Source organism: Homo sapiens, chromosome 5, assembly GCF_000001405.40.
Source record: "Homo sapiens chromosome 5, GRCh38.p14 Primary Assembly".
In the NCBI taxonomy this organism is placed as follows: Eukaryota; Metazoa; Chordata; class Mammalia; order Primates; family Hominidae; genus Homo; species Homo sapiens.
This window is the reverse complement of record NC_000005.10, coordinates 142,013,835-142,031,981: the sequence shown is the minus strand read 5'-3', so window position 1 is coordinate 142,031,981 and position 18,147 is coordinate 142,013,835. Positions and strand designations below refer to the sequence as shown.

Genomic DNA, 18,147 nt, shown 5'->3' with positions numbered 1-18,147 from the left:
TGGTATCCTGAGATGATAGCAACTGCCATCTTTTCCTTGTGTCCCTCTGACGAGTGGAACATCACCAGTACTCACACTGGAAGATGCTCCCTATACAGAAAGCATGTCCTAGAAACTGTGGAGACCTATAAAGTAAGTGTGAGTTTGCTTTAAGAATTAAATGAGGTAGTAGATATATCATGCCTGCCACGCAGCAAATAATCATTATTATGCATTATTATAATCTATAACTTTATATAATTTGCTGTAGTGTCTCTAAAAGACAACCTCACGAATAACAACTAGGATTAATTGAGCACCTACTCCAAGAGCCATCCATTGGGTCTGGATGCTCAATACCTTCACCTTTTTCTGATGACAGCACTCCATTTTCCTTTGGGGAATTGCCTACCCCTCTCCCATGGTTCTGGTGGGACTGCCAATTACAGTCCTCTATTCCAGTCCCTGACAGTTTCTTTAAAACCTGATCAGCCAGAGACCACCAGAAATGAGCCTACAGTCTGAGGAATTCAGATTTCTTTCCTCCGAGCAGTAAGGTGGAGCACTCCAGAGGATCTCCGGAAGGAGGGCAGCTGTCTTGCAAGATTTGGGTTCCTGCTCAAGGATTCTAAGGAGGGTTGAAGGGAAGCAGGCATCAGTCTGGATTGGATGCTGTTTTGGATGAGGGATTAAGAAGAGCAAGGATTAACTACGGATTGAGCATTGTCATGAGGCCAGGGCAGCTGAGCAGTTGGTTATCCCCAGTATTAAATGAGAATAGCAAAGCACGCTTCTGCCTTTGTCTTTGGTCATAGGTAAGAGAGCAGTGGCCACTTGCAGAGGGTCCTTACAGCATTTCACAGCCACTACGACATTGGGAGGAACAATGTTTCTTGCCGGCTTTGTAGCTGGCTTTAACTTTTCTGTCCTCTTAACCTGCTGTTTTCTTTTCCAGGACAAGTTGATTTTCACTCTCAGTCCTAGATAAAGTTTTACTCTTTTTGCCTCAGTGGTGACTTTGAACAAAGACACCATTCCTCACGACATTTTACTGCTATTTGCTAGACAATTGTCATAATGAGTGTTCAAACCTCTGATGACTATGATGGGTAACCCCTGAAGTTTACAAAGCCTAATTGTAATTGTAGGCAGCAGCCCTGCCCCACGTGCCCTGAGCTGGGGCAATCAGGCATTGGGAGTTGGGGCAGGAGACTCTCAGATGGGAGGCAAAGGTTGGAGCAGGCCATCTAAGGAAGAGCCCCAAGGGAGGCTGGGCCACAAACAGTTGCCGCTGAGATTCCTGTCACTGCCTGGGCTCTTCGGGGCCTCCCTGAGGACTGATTGTTTATCTCTTCTTTTGATTCTGGAGCAATCCCAATCATTTCCCAGTAATCCTTGTTAAACTGAGCTAGTCAGTTTCTGTTGCTTACAACCCCAGAACCCTAAATAACGTTATCTGTTTTTGTAGGTCTTCTGTTGGATAGTGGGATAGAGAGGAATAAAGTGCAGGCTCACAGTGGTATACTCACTGTGTACCTATGATGTAAGGGAGTGATTACTCCCAAGACAAATGATTCTTCCCTTTGCAAAGTAATTCACCCCTGGGTCCTTCCCTTTCTCTCCTAACCCCTCATTCTGTAAATTCTATGAATTCTCACTATATCCCCAGTGCCTGGCCCACAGTAAGCCCTCAACAGATTCACTGAATGAATTAATGAATAAATGAATGGAAGTTATCAACATCTCCATTTCTACAGATAGGAAAACTGAGCCTCAAACAGACTCATAACTAAGCTTATGCACATGCTATTAACAAGTGGTAGAAGGCCAGGCATAGTGGCTCACGTCTGTAATCCCAGCACTTTGGGAGGCTGAGGAGTACCGATCACCTGAGGTTGGGAGTTCGAGACCAGCCTGGCTAACATGCAGAAACCCCGTCTCTACTAAAAATACAAAATTAGCTGGACGTGGTGGTGCATGCCTGTAATCCCAGCTACTCGGGAGGCTGAGGCAGGAGAATCACTTGAACCCAGGAGGCAGAGGTTATGGTGAGCCGAGATCGCACCATTGCACTCCAGCCTGGGCAACGAGAGCAAAACTCCGTATCAAAAAAATAATAATAATAATAATAATAATAATACAAAAATCTTAAAGCCACTGAACTGTACATTTAAAATGAATTAAATGGTAAATTTGATGTTATGTATATTTTACACACACACAACATTCACACTCTAGGAGCCACCCTGGCACTCAGAAACACCAAATGTTGCCCATGGCATCTCTCCTAGCCCTGAGGAACACAATAAGGACTCAATGAATGCTGACGTTTTTAACTCATTTTTAGGCTGTGCTGGAGAGAAGCCTTCTCCTGGAGGCAGTACGGTCGAATGGCTAGGAGTACAGACACCGGAGTTCAAACCCCAGGTCAGCCACTTATCAGCTTGGTGACTTTGGGTGACTTATAAACCTGTCTATGCAAGTTTTCTCATCAGTAAAATTGGAAAAACAATGCCTACCTCAGGGGGTTGTTCTAAGGACTAAGTGAAATGATAATGTGTGAAAAGCACTTGGAACCATCCCTAAGACACAGTAAGTGTTCAGTAAGTATCAGCAGCTGGCACAAGGGTGATTATACACTACAGTGAGTTCTGCTGCTCCCAACCCCTCCATTTTCACCAATGTTTACCATACTACCTCTCTGTAATACATTTCGTGCTGCAGATAACTGTTTTTGGCAGGAAAGGAGTTATTACCTTCAAAGCAAGCTGACTCCCCAAAGAGGAGACTTTTTGTGATGAAATTCCAAGGAAGCTCCAGAGACTCCCTCCTTGGTGTTTCTGTCCATCAGCAGTAGGGAGCTCTCAGGAAATGAATTTCTCTTTTTTTTTTTTATTGAGACGGAGTCTTGCTCTGTCACCCAGGCTGGAGTGCAGTGGTGCGATCTCGGCTCACTGCAACCTCCGCCTCCCAGGTTCAAGCGATTCTCCTGCCTCAGCCTCCCAAGTAGCTGGGACTACAGGTGCACACCACCACGCCTGGCTAATTTTTGTATTTTTAGTTGAAACGGGGTTTCACCATGTTGGCCAGGATGGTCTCGATCTCCTGACCTCATAGTCCTCCCACCTCGGCTTCCCAAAGTGCTGGGATTACAGGCGTGAGCCACAGTGCCCGGCCTAGGAAATGAATTCTATACAGAATAATCAGATGGTTCCTGTGCCCTTTGGCTGCTTGTGCAGTTAAGCACATTTATCATGAGCTCTTCTTCTCAGTCATTCGCTATGTGGGATGAAGCTGTTCCCCTCTGGGATTAGGACTTCCCCCATTTCCACCCAGGCTGTTTCTTGTGCTCCGTGATATGGAAGAGACTTGGAGACGTGGGAAGTGTCCCACACAGCTGATCAGCCAGGCGCGGAGGTCCACCCACCTGCAGAAGGGTCACCAGGCTCAGAAACATCCTGTCCACACCTGCAAATCTATCCATGCCTCCTGTTCATGCCCAGCCCATACATTCGATTTTTAAAAATTCATTGTTTTCAAAATAATTAAAAGTCTCTTGCTCACTCTGACAAAATAAGCTGCCATGTTGTGAGATGTTCTGCGGAGAGGCCTACGTGGCAAGGACCAAGGGAAGCCTCCAGCTGACAGCTCATGAGCAACTGAATCCTACCAATAAGCATGTGAGTGAGCCAGTGTTCCGCAAAGGGGCTGGATATGCAGAGCGACCCCCAAATGCCAGAGCCAAGAAATCAAAGGAGGCTGACAAATCCAGCTTGTTGGTAGAGGATTATTTGTTAAGGTAACTTAGAAGTGTGGTCTTGCATGGCCACAAGACAGGTAGATGTGTTACTCCCCACACCCAAGGATTATATACTATGGGGAAATAGTAAATATGCTCTGGCAAGACAGTTAAAAGCAGCCCTCCAGAACAGTCAAGAAGGCTGTGTGTGTCCTAGCCTATAAAGTGTGCAATAACATCAAGGTTGCTTTTTTCTTACACTAGGGATAACAAATAAAGTAGAAACCAGGAGACAAAATTAGCCAGGTGTGGTGGTGCGTGCCTGTAATCCCAGCTACTTGGGAGGCTGAGGCAGGAGAATCGCTTGAACCCAGGAGGTGGAGGTTGCAGTGAGCCGAGAGAGTGCCACTGCACTCTAGCCTGGGCAACAAGAGCAAAACTCCATCTCAAAAAAAAAAAAAAAAAAAAAAAAGACCTAGATAGGGGCCAGGTGTGGCAGCTCAATCCTGTAATCCCAGTACTTCGGGAGGCTGAGGCCAGAAGACTGAGAGACTGAGGCAGGAAGATTGCTTGAAACCAGGAGATCAGCCTGGGCAACGAAGCAAGATCCTGTCTCCACAAAAAAAAAAAAAAAAAAAAAAAATTTAAGGAAACAAAAAAAGACCCAGCTAAGCTGCACCTAGATTCCTGACCTCCAGCAACTTTAAGATAATGTTGTTGTTTTAAGGCACTACATTTTAGAGTAATTTGTCATGCAGTGAAGAATGACTAATATAGGTTGAGGGTCAGTTTTATATGTTAACTTGTCTAGGATACAGTCCTCAGTCAATCAAATAGCAATTTAGTTGTTGCTGTGAAGGTTATTTTGTAGATATGATTAAAGTCCATAGTCAGTTAACTTCAGGAAATAGAGGCCAAGCGTAGTGGCTCACACCTGTAATCCCAGCACTTTGGGAGGCCAAGGCAGGTGGATCGCTGGAGTCCAGGAGTTCGACACCAGCCTGGGTAACATGGTGAAACTCTGTCTCTAGAAAAAATACAAAAAATTAGCCGGGCGTGGTGGCACATGCCTGTGGTCCCAGCTACTTGGGAGGCTGAGGTGGGAGGACTGCTTGAACCCAGGAGGCGGAGGTTGCAGCGAGCCAAGATCACAACACTGCACCCCAGCCTGGGCGACAGAGTGAGACTCTGTCTCAAAAAAAGAGAAGAAAGAAGAAAGGAAAAAGAAGAAAGAAGGAAGGAAGGAAGGAGAAATAAGAGATTGTCCAAAATAATCTGGGTGGGCCCGATTCAATCAGTTGAAAGGCCTTAGAAGAGAGGAGTTGAGGGTTTCCAGAAGAAGAAATTGGACAACAGTTTCAGTTCATGCCCAAGAGTTCCTGCATGCCTTCCTCACAGCCTGACATATGGATTTCAGAACTCCCTCGCCAACTCCCACAACAGTATCAGCCAATTCCTTGCAATAAATGTCTCTCTCTCTCTCTCTCTATATATATATATAAAATATATAATTAAAATTGTTTAATATACATAATGCGCCTGGCGCGTTGGCTCACGCCTGTAATCCCAGCACTTTGGGAGGCCGAGACGGGCGGATCACAAGGTCAGGAGATCGAGACCATCCTGGCTAACACCGTGAAACCCCGTCTCTACTAAAAATACAAAAAAAAATTAGCCGGGCGCGGTGGCGGGCGCCTGTAGTTCCAGCTACTCGGGAGGCTGAAGCAGGAGAATGGCGTGAACCCGGGAGGCGGAACTTGCAGTGAGCCGAGATCGCGCCACTGCACTCCAGCCTGGGCGATAGAGAGAGACTCTGTATATATATATATATATGTATATATATATACACACACATATATATGTATATATATACACACATATATGTATATATATGTGTATATGTATATATACATATATATGTATATGTGTATATATACATATATATGTATATGTGTATATACATATACATGTATATGTATATACATATATGTATATATATACATATAGACTATATATAATATGTATATATTATATATTATATATCATATATCATATATTATATATGATATATATTATATACAATATATCATATATATGATATGATATATATTGTTATTATATATGTGTATATATAGACATAATGCATCACAGAGAATAAAGAAATGAAAACAGTATCAAAGGATATGCCATAAAAAGGAAGACTCCCTCCGCTTGCTGCCTTTTAGTTCCCTTCCCCCAAAGAGATCTCTGCGACCTGTTTCTTTAGCATCCTTCTAGAAATTGTCTATGCGCGCAGGAACATATATTTATTCTTACCTCCTTACCCTCATGCATGTTTTAGCACACATGTTATACGGAGTTCTGTATCTTGCTTTTAAAAATTTATTTAACTATTGTGGTAGTCTTCCTATCAGCTCATGGAACTGGCTCCTTTTTAGTAGCTGCATTGTATTCCATTTTACAAGTGTGCAAAACTATTCAATCAGTCCCTGATTGACGGATATTTAGGTTGTTCTAATATTTTTCTTTAACAAGCCGGGATGCCATGGATGCCCTTCCAGAAAGACAAAGGACTTAGATTTCTTTCTGTCGGATATGGGGCTTTCCCTCCCTTCCCGTCTCACTTTCCCCATAGAGTTGGCTGTGTATGTGGGGCACATCCTGTATTTTGTCTACTTGACTTTGTCAAGACTCCTTGAATGTCCTGTGTTCAGCTTTTTTCAATACATTCAAAAATCATCAGAGCTACTTTTCCTCGACAGTAACTGGCACCTAAATTAAATCACCTAAATGGCAACACTAGCTGAAAAGCGTATCTCCATAAAGATTTGGACAATACCTTCTTGGTTTCATGCAGGTTCGGCTGAGGGAAGAACAGAAGGGAAGACTGAGAATTAAGGGTACTTATTTTTTTATTCGGGAAAGGAAAACACTGTTCTTTGCAGAAGCCCAAAGTCATGAACAGGAGCCACCGTTAATTAGAGATAACTTCTAATCATACACACGTTCTGAAAATCAGCCAGTCGGCGACAGCATCGCTGCAGTAACTGCACTCCTAAAAGTAAGCGGATCCACTACAGCCCGAAAGGCAGCGCATCAGGGCCGGCCCCTCGGTCCCCTCCGCTGCTCGACAGCAGCCAATGAGCAAGTGTCTCGCTCTAGCGCCGGCGCTCCCGGAAGTCGGAGGCGAAAGGCAGCCTCCGCCTGTGATTTGCTAACACAGCTGAAAGGCCTTAGATTCCTAAATACTTAGGCTTCAGAAGCGCCACCAGACCCTGCATGACCCGCTTCCCTAAACCTTACACTAAATCAGCCCTGGGGGTTGGGAGACTTTCCCATAGAGGTACGGTTCTCTCTTGCAAGCAAACCGGAAGTTCACTTTTTTTTTCTTTTGGCATCAGATGTCAGGTTCAATGTAACGCAACTCTTTTAACAGTTGGACCTTGTTTATGGTTTGTTATGAGTTTGGACTTACGAGTGACAGATGTACTGAAGCGGCTGAGCTTAGCAAAGTCAGTCTTCCATTTTTGCAGTAGTTTATATGATCTGTTTTTTATTTGCGTATATTTGAACCACTGATTGTCAAAAAGCAAGTGTAAATTTTGTGATGAAATTTCTGACCAGTGGACATTTATTAAACAAGGAAAAGTCCTTTTGAAGCTCTTTGTGCAGTAATTGTTCATTTAGTATAAAAATGATAGAAAGTTAGATGGAAACTAGCATATATGAATGGCTAAACATAAAAGAGATGTAAGATTTTCTCAACCAGTACTAAGAAAAGTGATACACCAACAAAGTTTTTTGATTAAGAGAAACTCAGATTAAGACAAAAATAGTTGTAATAGAAGTTGTAATGGCCTTCCACACTATATCATTATCAGTCTTTCTGCTCAAATAACTATTTGAACATACTACTGACAAAGTATTTTCTGGTTCCAAAATTGCAAGCAAAATTTCAAATGCTAGGATAAAATCGACTGCCCTAATAAAAAATATAATAGCTTCATTTATTATTACAGAGATTATCAAATATCTAAATGCCTCATCTTTTTGTGGCATAGCCACAATACAAGTATCACAATACAGGTACAACTTTTCCTGCGCGCACTAGTTTTCTCATAAAAACACTTGCAACAAGGCAATTGCAGGTAGAATCCCTTCCAGGTGAGACTTCAGAAACAATAGCAAATATTTGCAGAGCCTCTTGAGTTGGCAGTTAATGAAAACGTTTTTACTGCTTTCGTTGGAAATAATACAAATAGAACTTTTGTTGGATGTATGCTTACAAGTACACTATTTATTTGAGTTGAAGCAAAGCCTCAATGATCCTATGGAAGGTATTGGCAGTCCTGCTCGTGTTCTCATAATGCTGCGTAAATAGCATTGGATGGATCTCTTCTATTGAAACTGAAGTAATTATCATGAAATTGTTCTCTTACTTTAGTATTTATAGGGTTCTAACTGAACATTTTAAGGATTTTTATGATTTTGGCATTCGGAATTATTCATTTCTCTTGCATTCAAAAATCCATTGGATCTCTTTAACAAACATAGTTGAGAGAATCTTCCATTTATTTCAAGCACTGAAATTATACTTTAATTATGAAGAAAAGGCCCCCAAAATTCTTGACTTTTAAAATAATCCATTGAATGGTGCCTAGTTATTTCTCATTCATAGTTTTCAGTGTCAATTCTGCTATAGGATTCTGCAAATTGAAAGAGCAAATAGTGTTATGGAAGTACTACTCCATTGCTAAATGTATTTGTTGAATGTGTTGAAGGAGAATTGATGAAAAATGCATCCCTTGAATTATCAAAACTATTGTTAAAAGGGACATTACATATGAACAGGAAAATACATTTTAGCTCAGAGTGGACAATTATTACAACACTTGTTATGACCATCTTTCAAGATGGATTTCATCCCTTGAAAAATTCAGTTTTTTACATGGATGTTACTAAATACTTTTCCAGTGTGGGTACAAGTGGAATCACCATGTGTGGTGTGATGAAAAAGAAAGAATAAAATCTATACTACATTATATTACATGTGTTTTTTAATTTATTACATGAGTTTTTATTCCTTCTTTTCATTACACTACATTATATGTTATGCATACAGGTACAATGATTATTCAAAGTTGAAGCAAAACCTAAATGATTACATTACGTGAAAAATTTCATGATAATTACTTCAGTCTCAATAGAAAACATCCAGTGCTATTTAAGCAGCATTATGAGAACATGGGCAGGACAGCCAATATCTTTCATAGGATCATTCAGGCTTTGCTTCAACTTTGGATAAACATTGTACCTGTTTGCATACATCCATCAAAAGTTCTATTGTAATCTACATGTAGTGTAATGAAAAGAAGGAATAAAAACTGATGACAGTGCTCCTTCTTGTCAGTGGACAACATTTTAAAGAGTCATTGATCAAAAGATGCAATGTGATCCTGAAGAACGGAAAAGCAAGTTATGCATGAAAGATGACACATGTGCTTCAGCCAATCAAATTTGAAGAGTAATTCTCAGAGTTGGTAACTTTATGCCTATGTATGTTCAATACACTGGCTTGTAAAGCTAATGTCAAGCATGATTTCTCATTAATGAATGTTCAGTGGCCAAAAGAACAAAATAAATTGGATGCAACCACTGCAGAAGTCATGATAAAATGTAAATGGAACACAGACTAATAGTAAGGAATTTTATACATAAATTCTGCAAAATGAAGAACTATTAGGGAGCACAAAATCTCCAGGGAAATATAATTAAAGAGGTATGTAATTTAGATATTTACAATTTATTTCAGATAAGCAATGAATATGTTACTAAAAGTAATTTACTAAAAGTATAAGTCAGTGCATGCAATATTTTTCTATCTCAGTGTACATATGCACAGGCAATTATAAATAATTCAGATTTCACTGATGTTCTGTACTTTTATTTGTTAAATCTACTCCCTCAGCCTCCGTGCCACTGTGCCTTTGTTTGTGCCTGCCTATAATGCCTTCCTCCTCCTCTTAAATGATCAAATCCTGGCTCTTTTGAGCCCATCTCAAAACCCTAGTAATAATGGTAATGGTCCCTTAGTGAGGGCTAACTCTGTGCCGGGCACTGTTCTAAGGGCTTTATATTTGTCAAATCATTTGCTCCTCCCTGAGATTCTTCTTTTTTTTTTTTTTTTTTTTTTTTTTTTTGAGATGGAGTCTCGCTCTGTCGCCCAGTCTGGAGTGCAGTGGCGCAATCTCGGCTCACTGCAAGCTGTATTTCCTGGGTTCACACCATTCTGCCTCAGCCTCCCGAGTAGCTGGGACCACAGGCGCCCATCACCACGCCTGGCTAATTTTTTGTATTTTTAGTAGAGACGGGGTTTCACCATGTTAGCTAGGATGGTCTCAATCTCCTGCCCTCATGATCTGCCTGCCTCGGCCTCCCAAAGTGCTGGGATTACAGGCAAGATTATTATTCTTGAGAATAATACTACATACAATGTGGCAGCTATTATTTGCCTTAGACGCATTACATCATTTACCCTTCGTGAGGCAACTGCTCTTGATAATAATAGTACATACTGTAAGGTAGATCTTATTTTTCCTATTTTATGGGTGAAGCCATTAGGGAACAAAGACATGTCATAACTTACACAGAAGTTACACAGCCCAAAAGTGGTAGAGCTGGGATTCGAAGCCAGATAGTGTGGCCATGGAGTCCATTTCTGAACCCTGACTTGCATGTACCCTGCTCTGCCCTGTGAGACTCTTCAAGCTATGACCCGCTTTCTCATTTAATGTTGGAGCCACACAATTTATTATATAGTTTTTTTCTTGTGATGGAGTCTAAAATTACTAAATTTGTTCTCATTTCTCCCTTTAAAAGGAATCTGCCATAGACAAGAGGTGGAATCAACTCAAACATCCATCAACAGATGAATGGATAATCAAAATGTGGTAGGAAGAGGCATAACTACCGTGATGATAAAAAGCTCAGTGAGGCCAGTTGCGGTGGCTCATGCCTATAATCCCAGCACTTTGGGAGGCTGAGGCCGGTGGATCAGTTGAACTCAGGAGTTCAAGACCAGCCTGGGCAACATGGCAGAACTCCATCTCCACAGAAAAAAAAAAAAAAAAAAGCTGGGCATGGTGGTGTGTGACTGTAAGCCCAGCATTTTGAGAGCCCAGGGCAGCAGGATTGCTTGAGCCCAGGAGTTTGAGACTAACCTGAGCAACATAGTGAGACCCCATCTCTACAAAAAAATTTAAAAATTAGCTAGGTATGTTGGCTTATGCCTGTAGTCCCAGTTACTCAGGAGTCTGAGGTGGGAGGATTGTTTAAGCCTGGGCAGTGGAGGCTGCAGTGAGCTGTGATCACACCACTGCAGTCCAGCCTGGGCAAGAGAGCAAGACCCTGTCTCAAAAATAAATAAATAAATGAATAAAAAGTTTAATGATTGCCAAGGGGTTCAGAGAGTTAAATAGGTCCTAAATCATAGTGTCATATAGAATAGTTTCACTGTCCTAAAAAAATCCCCTATATTTTCGGGGATTTTTGACACTATGCATGTCTCAAAACCCATAGAATTTTATAGCACAAAGAGTATACCAATTTTTAAAAAATCATTTAGGAGAAGGATCCCAGGACAGAATGTAGAATGTGACAAAACAATATAACTGCATTAAAATGTATTAAACAACCTCACTGAAAGTTATAGAGGGGGAAAGATGCTGACAAGTAACTTTGGAAATTAGTGGAACCTGTCAGATGAAAGGCAAAAGAAGCTGTACATAAGCACTGTGCTCTATTTGATAAAGTTGTTTCACACGGGAGTGAGGGTTACAATCCTGGTACTGCTATACATGTGTACTGAAATCAATTAAGTAAATGGATGGCAGATAGTAGGGGAAAATGTGGTATATGCATACAATGGAATATTATTCAGCCTTGAAAAAGAAGGAAATCTTGTCACATGCTACAACATGGATGAATCTTGAGGACATTATGTTAAGTCAAAAAATTGTTTAATGGCTACAAAGTTTCAGTTTTTCAAAATGAAAAAGTTCTGGAGATTGGTCACACAACAATGTGAATATATTTAATACTACCAAACTATAGACTTAGAAATGGTTAAGATGGTAAGCTTAATGGTGTGTGTGTGTGTGTGTGTGTGTGTGTGTGTGTGTGTTTTACCAAATTAAAAAGAAAAAGAAAGGCCAGGCATGGTGGCTCATGCCTGTAATCCCAGCACTTTGGAAGGCCGAGGCAGGCAGATCATGAGGTCAAGAGATCGAGACCATATTGGCCAACATGGTGAAACGCAATCTCTACTAAAAATACAAAAATTAGCTGGGCATGGTGGCGCACACCTGTAGTCCCAGCTACTTGGGAGGCTGAGGCAGGAGAATCGCTTGAACCTGGGAGGCGGAGGCTGCAATGAGCCAAGATCACGCCACTGCACTCCAGCCTGGCAACAGAGCAAGACTCTGTCTCAAAAAAAAAAAAAAAAAAAAAGAAAGAAAGAAAGAAAAAGAAAAAAGAAATTATTCCTTTGCCTTCTAGGCTTCTCCCCTCTCTTCTGCCCTCTAAGAAGCCAGTTTTTGGTGGTTTCACATCTGGGCTTTTGAGATGAGAGAGAAGAAGGGAGAAACAACTGAGAAGCCAAAAGGACTGACAGAAGTTTACTACAAGGAAGAGAAGAACAGAGCTAAATTGAAAGGAAAGCAAGGTAGAACCCCACTTTGGCTGGTCATGTGGGTGTGCTGTTGGGGCAAAGAGATTTTTTAGTTAGAATTAAGAATTAGTATCCCAGCACTTTGGGAGGCTGAGGCGGGCGGATCACGAGGTCAGGAGATCGAGACCATCCTGGCTAACACGGTGAAACCCCATCTCTACTAAAAATACAAAAAATTAGCCAGGCCTGGTGGCGGGCACCTGTAGTCCCAGCTACTCGGGAGGCTGAGGCAGGAGAATGGCGTGAACCCGGGAGGCAGAGCTTGCAGTGAGCCAAGATTGCGCCACTGCACTCCAGCCTGGGCGACAGAGCGAGACTCCGTCTCAAAAAAAAAAGAATTAGTGGTTGGCTGGGCGCAGTGGCTCATGCCTGTAATCCCAGCACTTTGGGAGGCTGAGGCAGGCAGATCCCTTGAGGTCAGGAGTTCAAGACCAGCCTGGCCAACATGGCAAAACCCCGTCTCTACTAAAAATACAAAAATTAGCTGGGTGTGGTGGCATGTGCCTGTAGTCCCAGCTACTTGGGAGGCTGAGGCAGGAGAATCGCTTGAACCTGGGAGGTGGAGGTTGTAGTGAGCTGAGATAGTGCCACTGCACTCCAGCCTGGGTGACAGACTGTGTAGAGCAGTTCCAAATGCTCTACACGTGTCAATTCATTTCATCCTCACAACTATCCTATGAGTGGCCATTATGATTATCCCCATTTTACAATTGAGGGAGCTGAACTACAGGAAGGTTAAGAAAAGTGTCCCAGCTAATTAGTGATTGATCCAGAATCTGAATCCAATGGGCTTCAGAGCCAGTGTTCTGAGCCACTTGGGGCTTTGGCTTTTATGTGCAAGGTACCACTGAGCTACAGGGAGTATGGGAAATGCAGGGAGTAGTGACATATGGCTATCATTATAGGAGGTAAGACAGGGCCTCAGAAAATGAAAAGGTGGAAAACAGCAAGTAGCAGAAAGAAAGGCTCAGCAAAAGCCTTGGCAGGGGATTCCACAAACATGTGGAAGGGGGCAGGATGTTGGAGTATAGGGGTGGGGAGTGGGGAGTCTCTGATGGGTCAGACATTGCACCTCCAGACACAAGGGACTGGCTACAAAGGTTGAATCTCTTGTTTGCCACCCTCCCCATTTGTGGATTTTTTTTCTGAGCGTATTAGATATATTGCTGCATAACAAATCATTCTCAATTTAGCAGCTTAAAACCACAAGTGTTTATTATCTCACAGCTTCTGTGGGTCAAGAAATCAAGAATGACTTAGTTGAGTGGTTGTGGTTGTGGTTGTGGTTAAGGGTCTCTCATGAGATTTCAGTGAGGCTACTGGCCAGGGTTGCAGTCATTTGCAGTCTTGACTGGGACTGGAGGATCTGCTTCCAAGATGGCTCCCATGGCTGTTGTCTTGTTTCCTCGCCACCTGGGCTTTTCCATAAGGCTGCTCCAGTGTGGAAATGGAGCAGCTGACATCACTGAGAAGGTGATCCCAGAGAGAAAACAAAGAAGAAGCTGCAATGGCTTTTATGACCTAACCCTAGAAGACACACCCATCATTTCTGCACTATCCTGTTGGGTTACACAGGTCACCCCATCCACTGTGGAATGGGACTACATAAGCGTGTGAATCACTAGGAGCCGTCTTGGAGGCTGGCTGTCACACCGAGTTACTAAAATTCATAAAAATGTAATTCCTAGAGCCTGGAGGTCCACAAGGGTATGGACTTTGCTTTGTTCATTGTTGTGTCCCCAGAACCTAAAATAGTGCTGGGCACATGGTAAAGGCTCAATAAATATTTTATAAATGAATGAAAAAGAAGACTGCAGGGCAGGTGGCAATTTACTTGGCTTGGATGGAAGCATAAGATTCATTAAGTTTTCAAGGTTTTGTTGTTGTTTTTCCTTCAAGACAAAATCATTCATTTCATACAAATATTAGGCAGAATGTATCCAACCCGCAGCACCCACTTTGAAAAAATATGATGAGTCAATGAGACGATGCTTTAAAAACTTTTAGCACAGTGACCAGCACAGAGTAGATGGTCAATTACTTTGATCAAATCTTTTTATTAAATTTTTTTTTTTTTTTTTTTTTTTTTTGCCAAATGGGGCAGGGGGTTTTGTTTGAGACAGAGTCTTGCTCTGTCACCCAGGCTGCAGTGCAGTGGTGCGATCTCAGCTTACTGCAACCTTCACCTCCCAGGTTCAAGCGATTCTCACGCGTCAGCCTCCTGAGTAGCTAGGATTACAGGCACGTGCCACCACACCCGGGTAATTTTTGTATTTTTAGTGGAGACAGGGTTTTACCATGTTGGCCAGGCTGGTCTTAAACTCCTGGGTTCAAGTGATCTGCCCGCCTCTGCCTCCCAAAGTGTTGGGATTACAGGTGTGACCCACCACTCCTGGCCAGATCACATCTTAATAACAAGTTAGTGTGTGTCTGTGGCAGATTGTATTTTTTAAACATGGCCATACTTGTACATGTATCCCGTCCAACATGCTCTTCTTATAATATTACTGAACTTCTTACACAGAGAGATGGGGGTCTATGTTTTCTCTTTTTAAATCTGGATAGGGGCTTGTGATTTCTCCAACCCACAGAGCTCAGCAGAAGTGATGCTATATGACTTCTGAGACTAGGTCAGAAGAAGGATACAGCCTTAGCCCATCTTTGTCTCTTGATACGCTTGCCCTTGGAACCCACCGCTATGTTGTGAGGAAGCCCAGGCAACAAGGAGAGCCATGTGTGAGTGTTCCACTGACAGTGAGCACCTGTTGTCAAGACATGTGAGTCAATGAGCTTTCATACGATTCCAGCCCCAGAATTTGAGTCTTTCAGTTGAGGGGCAAGATATCATCGCCACTGTATCCTGTCTGAATTTCTAGCCCACAGAAACTGTGAGAAATAAGTCATTATTGTTGTTTTAAGCCACTAAGTTTTGGGGTAATCTGTTACACAGCAATAGATAACTAATAAAATATCCTTCCAGAATTTCCTCTAACTAGCTTCAGGGGAAAATGATATTTAATTATGTATTCACTCATTCACTCACTCAACCACGAAACCCAAAAGGGTATATTTGGCTTCAGACATGCTATTCTAGGGGGCTCAAATGATGTCATCAGAGTTCTGTGTCTCTCTTCTATTTGTTGTACCTTTCTGTAGCTCTAAGCTTTCCTCTGTTTTACGGCTCAAGATCTCAGGAGAAGTGTATTTTCCCCCAGTAGTGGCATAAACCCTAAGGAAGATCTGAATCACCTGCTCTAGCAGTGAGTCATGTTTTCAATTTCAAGTCACAGGAAATTCTCCTAACAATGATTTAAAGTTTAAGCCATAAGGACATTTACCATTTACTTAGAAGAAGTCCAGAAGTAGGAGGTCCCAGCACTAGTCAGATATCAAGGACATAAGTGTTTTCCCTCCTCCACTCTATCCTTATGCTTGGTGCCTCACAGTTACAACGTGGCCTCCCCAGCTTCAGTCATCACAACTGCCTTCAAGGCAGGAAGGAAAGGGAAGGAACCAGAAACCGCCAGTTTGTTTCTCAAGCACAGCACTTTTCTCAGGAAGTAAAATATCTAACCAGAAGCCATCCTCCTCCCTCATTGGGCAGAATGAAGTTACTTGGCCACCCCGTAGCTGTGGGAGAAGCTGTGAGAGTCGTTGACTTTCCAGTTTCTCCAGTGGGAAGCAGCAAGGGAGAAGGAGTCTCTGAATGGCTGCTGGGTTAGTGTCTTCCATGCCTGCCTGGCCTTGAACTAATCATGGCCAGAGCCATGGAGTCTCTAATTGGTTTGCTCCTAAGTCAAAGGGTAGGGCCAGCACCACACAAACTCTATGAATTGAGCAGAATTTGGGAGGTAACATCTGGTCAGGTTGTTTGCCCAAAGCAAGGGTGCATTAGAAGGTATAAAAATATCTGACCATACAAGAGTTGCAGAGTGTTCCATTGCATGGATAAACTCACAATTCTTTTAATTTGGCAACTTTAGTTCCAAGACAAGAGGATGGGAGGATAGGTGTGGGTAATAGTTTAAACACAGATGTGGAGTAGGAGGAGTACAGGGAGTCAGGAGGTTAGGGCTAGAGAGCATTTCAGTATGGTTAGAGAGTGGGCTGTAAGGAGGGTTAGGAGGAAATAAGGGGTAAGTAATAACAGCTGGCTGTGAATGCCATGCTATGCTAATATTTCATTTAATAGTCACAACAGCCACACGAGGGCAGTATTACTTAATTTCCACTCAATTCTTATGTTTCAGGTAAGAAAACTGAGACCTGGAGAAGTTGAGTCATTTGCTTGAATTACTCACTAAATAACCAGAAATTAGCCAGACCAGAATTGAAATGCAGGTCTTTCCGATTAGTCCCCACGCTGATCCAAGAGCCTCCAGGCTTCGCAGAGACCCTGCACTGGTTCCCTGCAGAAGGGGTAACTCAGGGGAAATGGGCTTAGTCACCAGAAGTCAGTCACTCTCCTCCTGGAAAGGTCTGGATGCAGATGCTGCAGACCTGGCCCATGTTATCAGACGTGATCGGAGATTGGAGTTGGAGCTTCATTGTGAAACATCTGCAGTCCTCAAGCTGAGACAACATTTCTGGCTGGGGGCGGTGGCTCATGCCTGTAATCCCAGCACTTTAGGAGGCCAAGGCGGGCAGATCACCTGAGGTCAGGAGTTCACGACTAGCCTGGCCAGCATGGTGAAACCCCATCTCTATTAAAAGTACAAAAATTAGCTGGGCATGGTGGTGGGCATCTGTAATCCCAGCTACCCGGGAGGCTGAGGCAGGAGAACTGCTTGAACCCGGGAGGCGGAGGTTGCAGTGAGCAGAGATCACACCACTGTACTCCAGCCTGGGCAACAGAGCGAGACTCCATCTCAAAAAAAAAAAAAAAAAGATTTCTGACTGAATTTAAAAATAAACAAAAACTACACCAACACCGAGCCATTCACAGCCTCTCAGGATTTGGAAAACAAAACAAAACAAAACAAAATAACACTGAGGCAAAGAGCAAGTCCCCCACACTGTAAAGGTATCAGCTCCACCATCTGGTCTCATCAGGGCCTCACCAGATGAAGCCTACCCCTAGCAAGCTGGTCTGGAGCTGCAGTTGGGCCCAAGGGCTGGGTGAGCGCCTGGGGCTGTCCACAGTGAGCAGATTCAGCAGAATTGCAGAACGTGGCCACCCGGCTGACTGAGGAAGGCCCTGTCCCGTGGGCATAAAGCCAGGATTCCTTTGGCCTTTTGCTGCTGGAGGAAAACTAGGCTGATTCAGAAGGTCTCACCACTGCTCCCTAGCACTGACTAAAGTCCGGGATGTCAGACTATGAGGTCATATATCACAAGTCTCTGTACGCCTTTGATCCCCAGTTTCCACATCAATAAAATGGCGGTAATCATATCTGACGATTGGGCGGGATTCTATGAAATAATGCGCACAAAGCTCTGGCAAAACCCTATGTAATGGAAGATGTTACTGATGACCAGCACTCAAGTCCTTCCTCCAGCCTCCGCATGGAAAGTTCCCAAGTGTCCCTAGAAGTCTGGAACACTCTAATGTTGACTGGAAAGAATAAGATGGATCTCTTTTTCTGATATGGAAGCGTCCCAAATCCAGTCATACCAGCTGGGAGGCAGTGCCCGCTAGCGGTAAAAAGCATGGATTTTGGATTTGGACAGATCCCCCTGAATTGAAGGCACAAGGGAAACC

The 18,147-nt window shown here is 42.9% G+C and overlaps 3 annotated features.

The window, feature by feature from the left end:
* Positions 13,594-13,653: a silencer, noted in NCBI's record as "silent region_16467". NCBI's record gives its function as "represses an Ori minimal core promoter by ATAC-STARR-seq in GM12878 lymphoblastoid cells {active_cell/tissue: GM12878}" and the evidence as "EXISTENCE:reporter gene assay evidence [ECO:0000049][PMID:35858748]".
* Positions 13,804-13,863: an enhancer, noted in NCBI's record as "active region_23315". NCBI's record gives its function as "activates an Ori minimal core promoter by ATAC-STARR-seq in GM12878 lymphoblastoid cells {active_cell/tissue: GM12878}" and the evidence as "EXISTENCE:reporter gene assay evidence [ECO:0000049][PMID:35858748]".
* Positions 17,416-17,688: a transcriptional cis regulatory region, noted in NCBI's record as "candidate enhancer chr5.3497 targeted for multiplex CRISPR interference". NCBI's record gives its function as "positively regulates GNPDA1 gene expression with high confidence in K562 cells {active_cell/tissue: K562}" and the evidence as "EXISTENCE:mutant phenotype evidence [ECO:0000015][PMID:30612741]".